The sequence below is a fragment of the Homo sapiens genome, chromosome 7, assembly GCF_000001405.40.
Source record: "Homo sapiens chromosome 7, GRCh38.p14 Primary Assembly".
NCBI lineage: Eukaryota > Metazoa > Chordata > Mammalia > Primates > Hominidae > Homo > Homo sapiens.
The window spans coordinates 69,543,066-69,561,011 of record NC_000007.14 but is presented as its reverse complement, the minus strand read 5'-3'; the positions used below and the strand labels follow the sequence as shown (position 1 = coordinate 69,561,011).

Here is a 17,946-nt window from a genome sequence, read left to right as displayed (position 1 = left end):
ACATGCCTGTAGTCCCAGCTACTCGGGAGATTGAGGTGGGAGGATCCCTTGAGCCAAGGAGTTTGAAGCTGCAGTGAGCTATGATCATGCCACTATACTCCAGCCTGAGTGACAGTGAGACCCTATCTTAAAAAAAAAAAAAAAAAAAGAAAGACAAAAAGACAAATCTTAATGCTTTGTTGGGCATACAGTAAGTGCCTAGTAAGTATGTATTGAGTAAGTAGATACTAAATAACAAATGCTTAATAATAAGAGTGAGAGATGAATCCTCCTTATTTGAAAAAAAATTTTTAGGCTGGGCGCAGTGGCTCACACCTGTAATCCCAGCACTTTGGGAGGCTGAGGCGGGCAGATCACCTGAGGTCAGGAGTTCGAGGTCAGCCTGGCCAACATGGCAAAACCCTGTCTCTATTAAAAATTTTAAAAAATTAGCCGGGCGTGGCGGTGCGCACCTATAGTCCCAGCTACTCGGGAGGCTGAGGCAGGAGAATTGCTTGAACCTGGGAGGCAGAGGTTGCAGTGAGCTGAGATCCTGCCACTGCACTCCAGCCTGGGAGACAGACTGAGACTCTGTTTCAAAAAAAAAAAAATTTTAAGAGACAGGGTCTTGTTCTGTCACCCAGGCTGGAATGCCATGGTGTGATCATAGCACACTGCAGCCTCGACCTTCTGGGCTTAAGCGATCCTCCCACCTCAGCCTCCCGAGTAGCTGTTACTATAGGTGTGCACCCCCACACCCAGCTAGTTTTAAATTTTTCTTGTAGAGATGGGGTCTCACTATGTTTCCCAGGCTGGTCTCCAACTCCTGGGCTCAAACAATCCTCACACTCCAGCCTCCCAAAGTGCTGGGATTACAAGCATGAGCCACTGCACCCAGCTGCCAACAAGGAAAGCTTTTAGGCTTGTATTGAAATATTAGCACCTCCCTAATGATGGTGAGCAGCACACATGCTGTTCCCTGTACCTCCAGGCTGCGCCAGCATTGCGAGCTGCAGGACTGCCCTATCTCTGTGCCTTGTCAGGAGGAATCACTGTAGTATTACCCCACATTATTATAAGATGTTATACCTAATGCCTCAGAAGCCAGACAGGATGTTCAGTCAACTTCCCAACAAAATCTTCAAGAGTTAGAGGACTGTCTTCAAGTCTTACTGCTAATATCACTTTTCTTGCTGTTCTGGAAGGAAATGAAGATGAAAACTGTCAGAAAGTAACTGTGGGCTACGACTAAAGCTGCTGACTGATAGAGGATAAAGGAAGAATGCAAATATACTACTGCATCGGCTTTTATTTAATCCTAACAGGAGATGTAGGGAAGGTCTGCGTTTCTATGCCTTGGATTAGTGTTCAGTTGGTGTGTTTTTCTGAAGATTAAAAGTGAGTTTGCATGCAGAGGAAGCATACAATGCCACCTAAAAGTCTCCCAGAAAAAGCTTCATAAAGGGATATTTTGTCATATCAGGAAAATAGGAACCTTATACCCATACCTTGAGTTACAAAGGAAAAAGTTACTTTATTCATTGCATTCTCACTTTTATTGCTCAACAGCCACAAATATTTCTTTGAGAACCTACTATGTGCTGGGCGCTTTTCTGGGTAATACAAAGATTTCATCAAGGTAGAGGCACAGCCTCAGGCCTGAAATTCACAGTATAGTTGAAGAGAAACGACAAGAACCTAAAAGATAAAAAACAGTTTGAAGCTGGTTGCGATGCCTCATGCCTGTAATCCCAGCACTTTGGGAGGCTGAGGTGGGTGGATGGCTGAGCTCAGGAGTTCAAGACCAGCCTGGGGCAACATGGCAAAACCCCATCGCTACAAAAAATACAAAAAAATTAGCTAGGCATCGTGGCACAAGCCTGTAGTTCCAGCTACTCAGGAGGCTGAAGTGGGAGGATCACTTGAGCCTGGGAGGCGGAGGGTGCAGTGAGCCATGATTGCGCCACTGCACTCCAACCTGGGTGACAGAGTGAAACCCTGTCTCAAAAAAACAAAAAAACAGAGGCCAGACCCAGTGGTTCACACCTGTAATCCCAGCACTTTGGGAGGCCGAGGCGGGTAAACCACTTGAGGTCAGGAGTTTGAGACCAGCCTGGCCAACATAGTGAAACTCCATCTCTACTAAAAATACACAAAATTAGCAGGGCGTGGTGGCACACGCCTGTAATCCCAGCTACTCAGGAGGCTGAGGTAGGAGAATCACTTGAACCCAGGAGGCGGAGGTTGCAGTGAGCCAAGATTGTGCCACTGCACTCCAGCCTGGGCAACATAGCAAGACTTCGTCTCAAAAAAAACCAAATCAAACCAAAAACAAATCAACAAACAAACCAGTCTAAATGTGCATATGTTATGCAGTAAATGACAATATGGGTCAATAATATTATCACAAAGCTTCACATAGAAACCTCTCCTCCTCTCTTAGGATATTTTCTTCCTGGGGGAGTGCAGCAAAGGTAGGAGCTTAATTGCATAGAGTAATTTTGATGTTTGCACAGAAACGCATAATGATATTATTGATCCTGAATGCAAACTCCTAGCAGAAACAGTTGTGAAACCTGCTGGGAGTTTGCACCTGGCAGCCTGGTTTCCCCATTCATCAAGGAGGAAGGGAAAGAACCCCAAAGCACCTACAGCTCCCAGGATGTGGCAGCGACCCAGAGTGCTTACCAAATGGAATGAATGGTTCTAGAAGATCAAGAAAGTTTGAGTGACAGTAGATAGCAGCATCAAATAGGAAGGAGATTGCTCCTCTTGTCTCCAGTCATCAAAGTGCTTCACAAATCAATATTAGACGCTGCATTAAAAAAATTATACCGTCATGGGAGATTGTCTGTGAATTGGCCTGAAGAACAAAAAATTAGTCTACTTTAAGAATCCTGGCGAGGCACGGTGGCTTACGCATGTAATCCCAGCACTTTGGGAGGCCGAGGTGGGAGGATCACGAGGTCAGGAGATCGAGACTATCCTGGCTAATAGTGAAACCCTGTCTCTACTAAAAATACAAAAAATTAGCTGGGCGTGGTGGCAGGCACCTGTAGTGCCAGCTACTTGGGAGGCTGAGGCAGGAGAATGGCGTGAACCTGGGAGGCAGAGCTTGCAGTGAGCCGAGATCGCACCACTGCACTCCAGCCTGGGCGACAGAGCGAGACTCCATCTCAAAAAAAAAAAAAAAAAAAAAAAAAAAGAATCTTATTCAGCCAAGTGAAGTGGCTCATTCCTGTAATCCCAGAAATTTGGGAGGCTGAGGTGGGAGGATGGCTTGAGGCCAGGAGTTCATGACCAGTCTGGACAATACAGCAAGACCCTGTTTCTAAAAAAAAAAATTAAAAGGTTAGCCAAGTGTAGTGGTATGCACCTGTAGCCCCAGCTATTCGGGAGGCAGAGGTTGAAGAATTGCTTGAACCCAGGAGTTCAAGGCTGCAGTGAGCTATGATCTTGCCATTACACTCCAGCCTGAGTGACAGAGTGAGACCCCTGTCTAAAAAAGTAGTAAAAGTAAAAGTAAAAAAAATTTAACAAGGATTCTATTCATTGTGAATTTCAGAAGCTGTTATTTGGTCCTCTAAATAATTATTTATATGAAAGCAATGAATACTCTTTTACTTACTACTATACAAACAACGTAATATTTTTTTAAAGTTTTGATTGAAGTATTTTTAAAGTTTTGATTAAAGTGTTTTTAAAACACTGAAAATAACAACAATATCTCTCAGAAAATAATGAGTTTCTTTCTGTTAGCTGTTGAATTATTTACTCCCATAACCGAATAGTAACAGCACATCAAAGCCAGCAGTGGTAATTAAATGATTTGTGAACATAGGTTAACAAATTAGTGTATCATGATGTGTAATTGTCTAATTAGGATAAAAAAGCTAGTCCTACCTGAAAGACTGACAAGATAACAAAACAAAATGGAATAGGTAAAAAGCATCATGTGATATATTGGGATGTATATAGTAGTGTAATTTCTCTCCTTAAAACTTGAGAGGGCTACAAGCATCTTTCTGATCTTACCTGTCCAAGTTGCCCAGCATGGTGGCTAGCGCCTGTAATCCCAGCACTTTGGGAGGCTGAGGCGGGCAGATCACTTGAGGTCAGGAGTTAGAGACCAGCCTGGCCAACAAGGTGAAACCCCATCTCTACTGAAGATACAAAAATTAACCGGGCATGGTAGCACATGCCTGTAGTCCCAGCTACTCAGGAGGCTGAGGCGGGAGAATTGCTTGAACCTGGGAGGCAGAGGTTGCAGTGAGCCGAGATTGTGCCACTGTACTGCAGCCTGGGTAACAGAGCAAGTCTCCAGACTCCACCTCAAAAACAAAACAAAAAAAAAGATCTTACCTGTTCAAGTTATACACACTGGCTCAACTAATTCAGTCAAGAGGAGAACAACTAACCAAGTAAGTGGGGGCTTGTTATGTTTTCAGGATGAGTTGGGTGCTGTCTACATGACCTCAATTAATTAAAATTATTTGTAGTTTTCATGAGACAACCACCAGCATCCCCAGGCCTGTGAAGGCACCTGAGGGAAAATTCCTTTGAATTCCACTTTAGCCCATGTGGGAACTAGATATACGAACAAAACAAGCTGGCATGGTGGCTCATGCCTCTAATCCCAGCAGTTTGGGAGGCTGAGACAGGAGGTTGGCCAGAGCTTAGGAGTTCGAGACCAGCCTGGGCAATATAGTGAGAACTTGACTCTAAAACAACAACAACAACAAACAAACAAAACAAAAAATAAAAACAAAACAAAATTAGGCATGGCATGGTGGCTTACACCTGTAATTGTAGCATTTTGGGAGGCCTAAGAAGATTGCTTGAGTGTAGGAGTTTGGGACTAGCCTGGGCAATATAGCAAGACCCTATTGCTACAAAAATATAAATTATCTGGGCATGGTGGTGTGTGCCTGTAGTCCCAGCTACTTGGGAGGCTGAGGCTGGAGGATCATTTGAGTCCAGGAGTTTGAGGCTGATGTGAGCTATGATTGTGCCACTGCACTCCAGCCTGGTTGACACAATGAGACCCTGTCTCTAAAAACAAAACCCGGCCAGGCGTGGTGGCTCACGCCTGTAATCCCAGCACTTTGGGAGGCTGAGGCAGGCAGATCACCTGAGGTCAGGAGCTCGAGATCAGCCTGGCCAACATGGTGAAACCCCATCTCTACTAAAAATACAAAAATCAGCTGGTGTGGTGATGTGCGCCTTTAGTCCCAGCTACTCGGGAGGCTGAGGCAGGAGAATTGCTTGGACCCGGGAGGTGGAGGCTGTAGTGAGCTAAGATTGCACCTTTGCACTCCAGCATGGGCGACAGAGTGAGACTCCATCTCAAAAAACAAAACAAAACAAAAAACCAAACCAAAAAACTTTCTTGTTGGGAATAATCCCTAGAATTGCAGCTGGAAATTTAAATGATACTTTAAAAAAAAACCTCATAAGCCATAGCTTACGATAATGGGACATTATATTACTTGCTTTGGTCCACTCATCTGGAGAGGATTGTCTCATTAGACGAACTCAAGAACATTTTCCACTCTGACCTCTCTTATGTCCTTTTCTTCGCCATCAGCTCCTCCTCTCAGAATCCTGATTTGAGAACGAATGATGGTATAACAATATTTGGCCATGGCCAGGCGTGATGGCTCACTCTGTAATCCCAGCACTTTGGGAGGCCAAGGCAGGTGGATCTCTTGAAGTCAGGAGTTCGAGACCATCCGTGCCAACATGGTGAAAACCCATCTCTACTAAAAATACAAAAATTAGCCGGGCATGGTGGCGTATGACTGTAGTCCCAGTTACTTGGGAGGCTGAGGCAGGAGAATCTCTTGAACCCTGGAGGTGGAGGTTGCAGTGAGCAGAGATTGCACCACTGCACTCCAGCCTGGGCAGCAGAGCAAGATCCTGCCTCAAAAAAAAAAATTGGCCATCTCTTTTCCTGGTAAGGAAATATTAAAGCAACACGGGACAATTTTTACCTAACCCCTAAACACTATTAGTATCATTGCTTCAACTAAGATCAACTTTTCCTCTCTTTTTCTGTGAAAGATAAATTTCTCATTTGAAAGCAACTGAAAGAATAGATACTAAATATTAATTAATTTAGACAAAATTATTCTGGGTGTTATGAGGTAAGGAACATTTAGGATTCTTTATCCTTATTTATTATGTAGTAGGGTTTTGACAATATCCTGGTTATTACTTTCCATGTCATAAGCTGATTTGTACTTAGGTCTTATGTTTGAAAATGCTTATGTTTGGAAACTTTTCATAGATTAACTGAATTAGCTAGAGAATTTGCTAAATCTCTTGGTCTCAACTCAACTGAAAAATCTGCTTGTCACTGAGGAATTTCAGTCTAATCTACAAATTTGTCTGACAGCGTCAATAGGAAAATTTACTTGGGGCAGAGGGATAGAGGTTGAATCTGCATATCTGAGTTCTTAGAGAGTGATGATGGTTAAATGCAGAGTCCTGTTCCCCACCCCAAGCATTTTGTGTGTGTGTGTGTGTGGGTGTGTGTGTGTGTATGTGTGTGTGACAGGGTTTTGCTCTGTCACCCAGGTTGGAATGCAGCTATCACGGCTCACTGCAGCCTTGACCTTCTGGGGCTCAAGTGACCCTTCTGCCTCAGCCTCCTGGACTACAGGTTCATGATACCATCCAGCTAATTTTTAAATTTCTTATACAGGCCAGGCCCAGTGGCTCACGCCTGTAATCCCAGCACTTTGGGAGGCCAAGGCGGGAGGATCACGAGGTCAGGAGATCGAGACCATCATGGCCAACACAGTGAAACCCCGCCTCTACTAAAAATACAAAAAATTAGCCAGGCATGGTGGTGGGTGCCTGTAGTCCCAGCTACTTGGGAGGCTAAGGCAGGAGAATGGCGTGAACCCGGGAGGCGGAGTTTGCAGTGAGCCAAGATCGTGCCACTGTGCTCCAGCCTGGGCGACAGAGCAAGACTCTGTCTCAAAATAATAATAATAATAATAATAATAATAATAATAATAATAATAAATTTCTTATAGAGATGGGGTCTCATCCTATCACCCAGGATGGAGTGCAGTGGCATGATCATGGCTCATTGCAGTCTCTAACTCCTGGCTCAAGTGATGCTCTTACCTCAGCCTCTTGAGTAGTTGGGACTACAGGTGCATACCACTATGCCTGGCTACTTTTTATTAATTTTTGTAGAGATGGGGTCTCACTATGCTGCCCAGGTTGGTCTCAAACTCCTGGCCTTAAGTGATCCTCCTGCCTTGGCCTCCCAAAGCATTGAGATTACAGGTGTGAGCCACCATGTCCGGCCTGCATTCCAAGTATTTTGAATCAGTGTCTTACTTTGGGTTCTGCTGAAGCAGAGGCTTAGACAAGGATTTGAGTGCCAGGAGTTTACTTGAGAGATGATCCCAATAGCTCCCTGAAAGGGGTCTGGAGAAGGGAAGTGGGGAAGGAAGGAAGGAAAAGCAATAAAGGCTATATTAATGAGAAGGTTATTTATCACCATGGCCACCTGAGGGTCAGCCCCAAGGGGACCTCCTGAGAGACTGCAAGGCACCTCAGTAGTGTCTCACTGACAAGCAAGAAAGCTGGAGCTCCTGTTTCTCATTGGTTGAAGGTTGCTGCTGGGGGCGTGGACTCCCTGATAATTCTGGCCTGCCTTGTGTGTGCACACAGCATGCTTCTGTGACCAGAGAAAATCCCCAGGCAGAAAGACACAGAGATACAAAGGTAGGAATCTTTAGTGTTCAGGGACTAGTCATGGAAGCTCCCCATAAAGGAGGGGTTATGTAGGAGTTTGAGACCAGCCTGGGCAACACTGTGAGACCTTGTCTGTACAAAAAATTAAATAAAATAATTAGCCAGGCATGGTGGTGGCACATCTGTAGTTTCAGCTACTGGGGAGGCTGGAGGTAGGAGGACCACTTGAGTCCAAGAGTTCAAGATCAGCCTGGGCAACACAGTGAGATGCCGTCTCTACCAAAAAAAAATTAGCTGGGCATGGTTTCATGTACGTGTAGTCCCAGCTACCTGGGAGGCTGAGGTGGGAAGATGGCTTGAGCCCAGAAGTTCAGTGAGCCATGATTGCACCACTGTAATCCAGTGTGCACAAAAAAAATGGACTCTGTCTCAAAAAAAAGAGGAGAAGTTGGAGGGATATGGGTGTGATTCTGACAGCTACAATCAGAATCTCTGCCTGTGGCTGTGGGGCTTGGGAACTGTATATTTTCAACCCCAGATGATTCTGATCTTTACAAAAGCTTAAGAATCATGGCTGTGAAAGGGAATCTGAACAGGTTTCCCCCAAGCTGCGCTACTTTCAGAGAATTTGAAGTCCCCAGAATAGCAAAGAGCCCTGCAGGATCTGGCCTCTTCCTACCTCTTTGGCTCCATCTCTTGATTCACATTTTTGTCCCCAGACTCTGGCTGTAGCCATCAAATTGCTTGCAATTACCTGAAAACCAGGTGGTTTTACACTTCTGCCTCTGCTCAGAATGTTTCAGCTGCAGAAAACTTGACTAACAGTGGCTAAAACAAATAAGGGTTTATTTTTCTAACACAGCCAGCAAGTCTGGAGATGGGTAGCTGCTAACATTGGTTTTGTGGCTTAATAAGGCCAGGGTGGGAGTTGGATTCTTTTAGATTTTCCTTTGCAGTTGCAAGGGCTGCTGCAGCTCCAGATACCATGTTTGTATTCAAGTCAGGAAGGGGCAGTACCAACTAAGTGAAAACTTTCCCCAAAAAGCCCAGTAGAGTTCCCTTAATGTCTCACTGACCAGAACCATGCCATGTGTCTACCCCTAGCAGCGAGGGAGGTAAGTAAATATTTAGCTGCCAAGCTTTATAGAGACGGCAGGAAAAGCAGATGAGGGTTGGGAAGTTTGAAATGGTGTTAGATTAGCCCTTCTTCATTTTGTTTGCCTGGGGAGTACCTATTGAACTTTTTTTTTTTTTTTCCTGAGACGGAGTCTCGCTCTGCCCCCAGGCTGGAGTGCAGTGGCACCATCTCGGCTCACTGCAAGCTCCGCCTCCCGGGTTCACACCATTCTCCTGCCTCAGCCTCCTGAGTAGCTGGGACTACAGGCGCCCGCCACCATGCCCAGCTTATTTTGTTTTTATATTTTTAGTAGAGATGAGGTTTCACCGCATTAGCCAGGATGGTCTCGATCTCCTGATCTCGTGATCCGCCCCCCTCAGACAAGTACTTATTTAACTTTTAAGATTCACTTTCCCTCATATTTTATTTTGAAAACTTTTAAACTTTCAGAAAAATTGAAAGAGTTGTACAGTATATACCTACATACTCACTACCTAAATTCTATTATCAACATTTTACTATATTTATTTATATATGTATTTATTTATTATTATTATTATTTTTAGAGACAGAGTCTTGCTCTGTCACCCAGGCTGGAGTGCAGTGGCATGATCTCCATTTACTGCAACCTCTGACTGCTGGGTTCAAGTGATTCCCATGCCTCAGCCTCCCCAGCAGCTGGAACTACAGGTGCACACCACCACACCCAGCTAATTTTCGTATTTTTAGTGGAGACGGGGTTTCACCATGTTGGCCAGGCTGGCCTTGAACTACTGACCTCAGGTGATCCGCCTGCCTCAGCCTCCCAAAGTGCTGGGATTACAGGACTAAGCCACTGCACCTGGCCTAGTGCTCTTTTCTTAAGTAAAATTTATATACTTTCAGGCAAGGAACTCTGTGGTGACAATACATGCTCAGGTGTTAACTGATCACTGAGATGGTGCCAGTAAGAGTTCCTGGGGCGGTTTACATTTCAACTGGGAAATCCGCATCTGTCATACACCGTGGGTGGAGCCTGCCCTGCTCTGCTTCCAGGCAGTTTGCATTTCTCGCCAATCCAGGTGTTACTCTTGGTTGCCCATTAAGAGGGAGTTCCATCCCCCCATTGCCTCTGACTGCCAGGGCTCGTTTTGGTGGAGCTTCATTTCATCCTCGTGTTGTTCATTGCATGGAGAAATAAATCCCAAAGTCAAATGCTTCTTAGAAAAGATAGCTCTCTCCAAAAGGAGAAGAGCCATTTCTTGGCTACTCCCTGTAAGACTGGTTTTCCTTTCCCTAAGCACCATACGTCACCCTGTCCATCTTCTTTTATTTTATTATTATTTTTTAGAGATAAGGTCTCCCTCTGTTGCCCAGGTTGGAGTGCAGCCTCGAAATTCCAGTCTCAAGTGATCCTCCCGCCTCAGACTACAGGTGTGCACCACCATACCTAGCTATTTTTTAAAAAAATCTTTTGTAGAGGCTGGGCGCGGTGGCTCACGCCTGTAATCCCAGCACTTTGGGAGGGCAAGGCAGGCGGATCACGAGGTCAGGAGATCGAGACCATCCTGGCTAACACGGTGAAACCCCATCTCTACTAAAAATACAAAAAAAAAAAAAAAAAAAATTAGCCAGGCGTGGTGGCGGGTGCCTGTAGTCCCAGCTACTCAGGAGGCTGAGGCGAGAGAATGGTGTGAACCCGGGAGGCGGAGCTTGCAGTGAGCCGAGATCACGCCACTGCACTCCAGCCTGGGTGACAGAGTGAGACTGTCTCAAAAAAAAAAAAAAAAATTTGCCCGTAAAAAGGACAAGGTCATACTGTTATAATTTGGACCTTGGCTCCCAAAGGGACAGTAAAAAGAATGCTTTACAGACAACATTAGCTCACTGACAAAACCTAGGTTGTGCAGAAGAAAACAGCCCTGCAGTCGGGAATGGTGACCTAGCCCTGGCCCAGGACAGCAACCTGAGCCTCAGATCTGTGTCCTAGCCCTAGCTTTGCCATTAACACTCTGTTACTTTAGGCAAGTCACTTTCATGCTGTGAGCCTCAGTTTCCCCATCTAGGCAACATACTGGATTCCATCTAAAATCACTGCCAGTTCTAAAATTGCATGAGCTATTCGAGATTCAGGTTCAATTTGAAATGTCAAATTTAGGTTCCACATAAAAAAGACCTCAGCTGGTGGATCAATAAGGATTGCAAAGAGGTCATTTTTCACCTGTGAGTCCTTCATTCATCATTATCTTCCTTAATCACCTTGTGTCTAGCGCCTGCCCTGGGCCGACAGATCTGTCCAGCTGCATAGCTCTTGCTCTTCTGGACGGGCAGCAAACCCAGCTCGGTTTGGCATGGCACAGAGCGAGACGGAAGTATTAATCAACACAGAAGTGGTTGCTGGCAGGAGATCAGAAGGCTTTGTCCAGGTTCGTAGAGTGAGGAGAGAGGCTGCGGACGGAGGCAGGAAGGGTGCAGAGTATGAAAGCATTTGTTTGGGGACAGCAACCGCAGTACGTTCTATGCAGGGACATGGCGACTGGAACACCTTGTCCATCCTAATGAAGCATGGAGCACCATGTGTTATGTGTAAATGCAGAAGGCTAACTAATGGATTAACTTAGACAGCTTGTCTTTGTGGAGCAGAGGAAGCGGTGGCTGTAAATGGAGGCCGGAGTGCTAGCCAGCTTTGAGAGGAGAAGCCTGCAAGAACAGAAACACTGAGGTCTGGCCGGCACGGTGGCTCATGCCTGTAATCCCAGCACTTTGGGAGGCCGAGGTGGGTGGATTGCTTGAGGCTAGGAGTTCAAGATTAGCCAGGCCAACATGGCAAAACCCATCTCTACTAAAAATAGAAAAATTAGCTGGGTGTGGTGGTACACCCCTGTGATCCCATCTACTTGGGAGGCTGAGACATGAGAATAGCTTGAACCTGGTAGGCAGAGGTTGCAGTGAGCAGAGATCATGCTGCTGCATTCCAGCCTGGGCGACAGAGCGAGACCCTGTCTCAAAACACACACACACACACACACACACACACACACACACACACAAACACTGAGGTCTCACATAGCTCGCTGAAATGGCTTTTCCCAAACCAAAGCTCAGACACAAAGCTGCTCATTCATTACACATCATCCATCCATTTCCAGAAGATGGTTCTTTTCTTTGTTTGTTTGTTTTGACAAGGTCTCACTCTGTTGCCTAGGCTAGAGTGTAGTAGTGCGATCATAGCTCACTGCAGCCTTGAACTCCTGGCCTCATGCAATCCTCTGGCTTCAGCCTCCCCAGTAGCTGAGACTACAGATGTGTACTACCATGCCTAATTTTTATTTTTATTTTTAAAATATTTATTATTACTATTTTTTGAGATGGAGTTATGCCCTGTCACCCAGGCTGGAATGCAGTGGTGCAATCTTGGCTCACTGCAACCTCCACCTCCTGGGTTCAAGCAATCTTGTCTCAGTCTCCCGAATAGCTGGGACCACAGGCATGCACCACCATGTCCAGCTAATTTTTGTATTTTTTGGTGGAGATGGGGTTTCACTATGTTGCCCAGGCTGGTCTTGAACTTCTGACCTCATGTGATCTGCCTGCCTCGGCCTCCCAAAGTGCTGGGATCACAAGTGTGAGCCACTGTGCCCGCCTTAATTTTTAAAGTTTAAAAATTCTTAGTAGAGACGAGGTCTCACTATGTTGCCCAGGCTGGTCTCGAACTCCTGGGCTCAAGCGATCCTCCTGCCTTGGCCTCCCAAGGTGCTGGGATTACCGACGTGAGCCACTGCACCCAGCCAGAAGATGGTTCTTAATTAAAGAAGGTATTTTGGATGCCTATCATACCATGCTCTCGGAAAGAGAACATCTTCCGCACTGTCTCCTACATGAAGTGACTTTATAAGGATGATTTCAGAGGCTGGAGTACAAAGGGAAAAGTACTTTTCAAAGCCAAACGCAGTGTAAGAGAGAATTCAAAGAGGAAGTCAAGCATTAATCTTTATCAGAGCATCTCAACCATTAACTTTACTACTCATTGTTATTAGGCACAAATGTACCTAGTGCCTTATGGAAACCTGATAGACAAACGTTTAGGCGATTAAAAGAGGATAAATCCAGGGGCATTTATGCCTTCTACAAAAGAACTCCTCACTTTACTGAAGATTGCCTTCAGGAGTTCTTTTTTTAAAAATAGCAGCTTCTCTGAGCACTTAAAATGCGATCTGATTTACACACCTCAATTGATTCTATTCTAGTTCAACCTAACTTTAAACATCTTTCTAGAGGCAAGAGAAATGCCTGTTTTCTCTCTCTCTCTCTGCATCCCTCTTCCTTTTCTCCCCCTTCCCAAGGTGCCATGCCATCAAATGGGTCTGGGTCTGCTATAAAGACCTATAATGCCAGGGCTGGAAGTGCCCAGAGCTGTAATTCAACCCCAGACCCTGTTTATTTATTTATTTATTTTTATTTAAGGCAACCTCCACCTTCTGGGTTCCAGTGATACTCATGCCTCAGTCTCCCGAGTAGCTGGAATTATAGGCATGTGCCACCACGCCTGGCAAGTTTTTGTATTTTTACTAGAGACGGGTTTTTGCCATGCTGGCCAGGCTGGTCTCGAACTCCTGACTGCAAGTGACCCACCCGCCTCAGCCTCCCAAAGTGCTGGGATTACAGGCCTGAGCCACCCCACCTGGCCTTTCTTTTTTTTTTTTTTTTTTTTTTTGTTTAGTAGAGATAGGGTCTTGTAATATTGCCCAGGCTGGTCTCGAACTCCTGGGCTCAAGCAATGCGCCCACTTTGGCCTCCCAAAGTGTTGGGATTAGAAGTGTGAGCCACTGTGCCAGGCCAGGAATGTGATTTTTGACAATGTAGTTATCCTCTTTGAGTTTCCTCAACTTTATTTATTTATTTTATTATTATTATTTTTGGAGACAGAGTCTCGTTCTGTTGCCCAGGCTGGAGTGCAGTGGCTTGATCTCGGCTCACTGCAACCTCTGCCTCTCAGGTTCAAGTGATTCTCCTGCCTCAGCCTCCTGAGTAGCTGGGATTACAGGTGCCTGCCACCATGCTTGACTACTTTTTGTATTTTTAGTAGAGACGGGGTTTCACCACGTTGGTTAGGCTAGTCTCGAACTCCTGACTTCAAGTGATCTGCCTGTCTTGACCTCCCAAAGTGCTGGGATGACAGGCATGAGCCACTCCACCTGACCTGGACCCTTTTTTTTTTTTTTTTTTCTGAGACAGGGTCTCACTCTGTTGCCCACACTAGAGAAAAGTGGTGCAATCATAGCTCACTACAGCCTCGAACTCCTAGGCTCAAGTGATCCTCCCACCTCTTGAGTAGCTAGGACTACAGGTGTGTGCCACTATGCCTGGCTAATTTTTGTGTTTTTTGTAGAGAAAGAGTTTTGCCATGTTGCCCAAGCTGGTCTCAAACTTCTGGGCTCAAGTGATCCTCCCACCTCAACCTCTCAAAGCACTGGGATTACAGGTGTAAGCCACTGTGCCTGGCTTTGTACAATGGTTTGATGGAATATGTCAATGAAAGCAGCACCACATTCAGTTAAAATTTTACATTTGTTGGCACAAATATTTGATTATTTCCCACATCAAACAGTAAGAAATGACAGAAGCAAGATTGCATTTGCCTTTTCTTTTCTGTTTTTTTTTTTTTTTTGTTTGTTTGTTTTTTAACGGAATCTTGCTCTGTCACTAGCCTGGAATGCAGTGGTGCAATCTCAGCTCACTGCAACCTCCACCTCCTGGGTTCAAGCGATCCTCCTGCCTCAGCCTCTTGAGCAGCTGAGATTATAGGCCCCTGCCACCACACCCGTCTAATTTTGGTATTTTTTCGTAGGGATGGGTTTTCGCCATGTTGGCCAGGCTGGTCTCCAACTCCTTACCTCAAGCGATCCACCTGCCTCACCTTCCCAAAGTGCTGGGATTACAGGTGTGAGACACAGTGCCTGGCCTGTTTTCTGTTTTGTTTTTTTTTTTTTTTTAGACGGAGTCTCACGCTGTTACCCAGGCTGGAGTGTAATGGTGCAATCTCAGCTCACCGCAACCTCCGCCTCCCAGGTTCAAGTGACTCTGCTGCTTCAGCCTCCCAAGTAGCTGGGATTACAGGAACGCACCACCATACCCGGCTAATTTTTTCTATCTTTAGTAGAGATGGGGTTTCATCATGTTGGCCAGGCTTGTCTCGAACTCCTGGGCTCAATTGATCTGCCCACCTCGGCCTCCCAAAGTGCTGGGATTACAGGCATGAGCCACGGCACCCGGCTTTTTTTTTTTTTTTTTTTTTTTTTTTTGAGACAAGGTCTTGTTCTCTTGCCCAGGCTAGTGTGCACTGGTGTGATCATGGCTCACTGCAACCTTTGTCTTCCAGCCTCATGCAATCCTCCCACCACAGCCTCCTGAGTAACTGGAACTATAGGTGTGCACCACTACATCTGGCTAATTTTTAAAATACACCTGCATTTTCTTTTCATTGTACCCCTAGCACTGTGTGGCACCTGTCACATAGTAGGTGTGCTGTAAATACTTGAATGCCTTTTAACTGTACCTTGGTTTCCTTGTCTGAAAAATGGGAACACAGTATTACTAGAACTCATCCTGGCTCACAGGGTCTACAACAGAATCAAATCTTCTAAGCAAATACTCTTTGACAAACTCTCTAAATATTAATGTGAATTATTGACACTGATGAAGGAAATGGGTCACCCACATTCATCACGGGAGGAATACATGGAAACCATGTTGTCCCATTACCTAAATGAGCCAAAAATGGTCTGATATGATGTTCTGAAAGTTTGAGGTCATTTAGCCTCAAAACTGAACCTTGTCTTGTCTCAAATTGATGATGACTCAGTTTGTACTCTTCAGGTAGCATATGTGATGGACAGTTTCTCAGCTGATTTCATCTGCAAGATAGGGAACAGCTGGGCCTTGAGAGAGTTCACTTGACTACATAAATACTCACAGTGTAGAGATAGTTTAAGTACTTAAACTCTGGATATCTTAAGATAAATCATAACTCTTGAGATTATACTCATTCTTCTGCCAATCTAAAGATAAACACAGCCTGCAAGGCTCTTTCCCTCCAATTACATATTATTCAGAAACTCCTGTGGTTCAATTTCCTTACCTATGAAGTTGAAAGACTAAAATGGGAATACTACAATATTAGTCAGTTCTCACATTGCTATAAAGAACTACGTGAAGGCCGTGCACAGTGGCTCATGCCTGTAATCCCAGCACTTTAGGAGGACAAGGTGAGTGGATCATCTGAGGTCAGGAGTTCAAGACCATCCTGGCCAACATGGCAAAACCTGGTCTCTACTAAAAATACAAAAATTAGCCTGGCGTGGTGGTGGGCACCTGTACTCCCAGCTATTTGGGAGGCTGAGGCAGGAGAATCACTTGAACCCGGGAGGCAGAGGTTGCAGTAAGCTGAAATTGCTCCATGGCACTCCAGACTGGGTGACAGAGTGAGACTCCATCTCAAAAAAAAGGCCGGGCACAGTGGCTCACGCCTGTAATCCCAGCATTTTGGGAGGCCAAGGCGGGGCAGATCACGAGGTCAGGAGATTGAGACCATCCTGGCTAACATAGTGAAACCCCGTCTCTACTAAAAAAAATACAAAAAATTAGCTAGGCGTGGTGGCAGGTGCCTATAGTCCCAGCTACTAGGGAGGCTGAGGCAGGAGAATGGTGTGAACCGGGAGTTGGAGCTTGCAGTGAGCAGAGATGCGCCACAGCACTCCAGCCTGGGCAAAAGAGCGAGACTCCGTCTCAAAAAAAAAAAAAAAAAAAAAAAAAGAACTACCTGAGATTGGGTAATTTATACAGAAAAGAGACTTAATTGGCTCACAGTTCCACAGGCTGTACAGGAAGCATGGCTGGGGAGCCCCAGGAAACTTACAATCATAGTGGAAAATGAAGAGGAAGGAGACAAGTCTTACATGGCAGTGGCAGGAGATAGAGCAAAGAGGGAGGTGCTATACACTTTTAAACAACCAGATCTCATGAGAACTCACTATTACGAGAACAGTAAGGGGGAAATCCGCCCCTGTGATCCAGTCACCTCCCACCAGGCCCCTCCTCCAACATTGAGGATTACAATTCCACATGAGATTTGGGTGGGGACACAAATCCCAACCATATCACCTACCTTGACTACCTCCTTGGGTTGTTGGAAGAATCTAAAATAAAATTAAATAAGTGAAATTATTTTGTGAGTCATAAAGCTCAATACATGGGCAATTCATTCTTGTTAATAGTCATTGTTGTGATTATTAATGTTCTACATGCAAGTCATACCTATAAATAGCCATAATAATTAATTAGGTTATGATGTTCATGGCCAGACATCTGCTATGGAATAAGAAACGTCTCTCAGATGACTTGGGGAAAAAAACAACCATCGGGAACCCAGAATGTTTCTAGATTTAGCATTTTGTTTTCTCCAAATGGCCCTTTTCTGTCTTTCTGAAGAATCCTGCTGTATCACTACAAGGAATGGGGCTTTCTTGATCAAACAATAGCTATGATGGCTGGGTGCGGTGGCTCATGCCTGTAGTTACACCACTTTGGGAGGCTGAGGCAGGTGGATCACCTGAGGTCAGGAGTTTGAGACCATCCTGAGTAACACAGTGAAACCCCATCTCTACTAAAAATACAAAAATTAGCTGGGCTTGGTGGTGCATGCCTATAATCCCAGCTACTCAGCCAGCTGAGGCAGGAGAATCACTTAAATGTGGGAGGCAGAGGTTGCAGTGAGCCGAGATCATGCCACTGCACTCCAGCCTGGGTGACACAGCAAGACTCCTTCTCAAAAAAAAAAAAAAAAAAAAAAAGCTATGATAACTATAACGGCAAGGTGGGGCTTCACACATACTGGCTGGATGCTCTGAGCATCTGAGCATTGTTTCAGCTGGTGATCAGAGTGAGGCTCTGACCTTTAGTCACACATTCCCCTAAAACGCTAAGCAAATCATATGTTTTAACCACACCTGTCAGGTTTTAGGGACTAGACATCTCTTTAATTATGAAACGGTTTGCACATTTGCTAGGTGCACATGAGGTGCTATTTTATAAATGTTCAATTATTAGAAAATAAAGCACATTGAGAAATAAATCTGGAGCAAAAAAAGGAAAAAAAA

The 17,946-nt window shown here is 45.1% G+C and overlaps 1 long non-coding RNA gene across 1 annotated transcript in view; it reads right to left on the bottom strand.

The window, feature by feature from the left end:
• LOC105375346 (uncharacterized) overlaps nt 1-16,987 on the bottom strand; it is a 36,703-nt gene extending 19,716 nt beyond the window's left edge. Inside the window, exons 1-4 of the long non-coding RNA XR_927652.1 lie at nt 16,956-16,987; nt 15,554-15,705; nt 2,668-2,794; nt 1,069-1,177 (exon numbers count right to left, since the gene is read on the bottom strand). This is a non-coding gene — a long non-coding RNA (uncharacterized LOC105375346). The remainder of the gene's footprint in view (nt 1-1,068; nt 1,178-2,667; nt 2,795-15,553; nt 15,706-16,955) is intronic.
• Between the last annotated feature and the right edge of the window lie 959 nt (nt 16,988-17,946).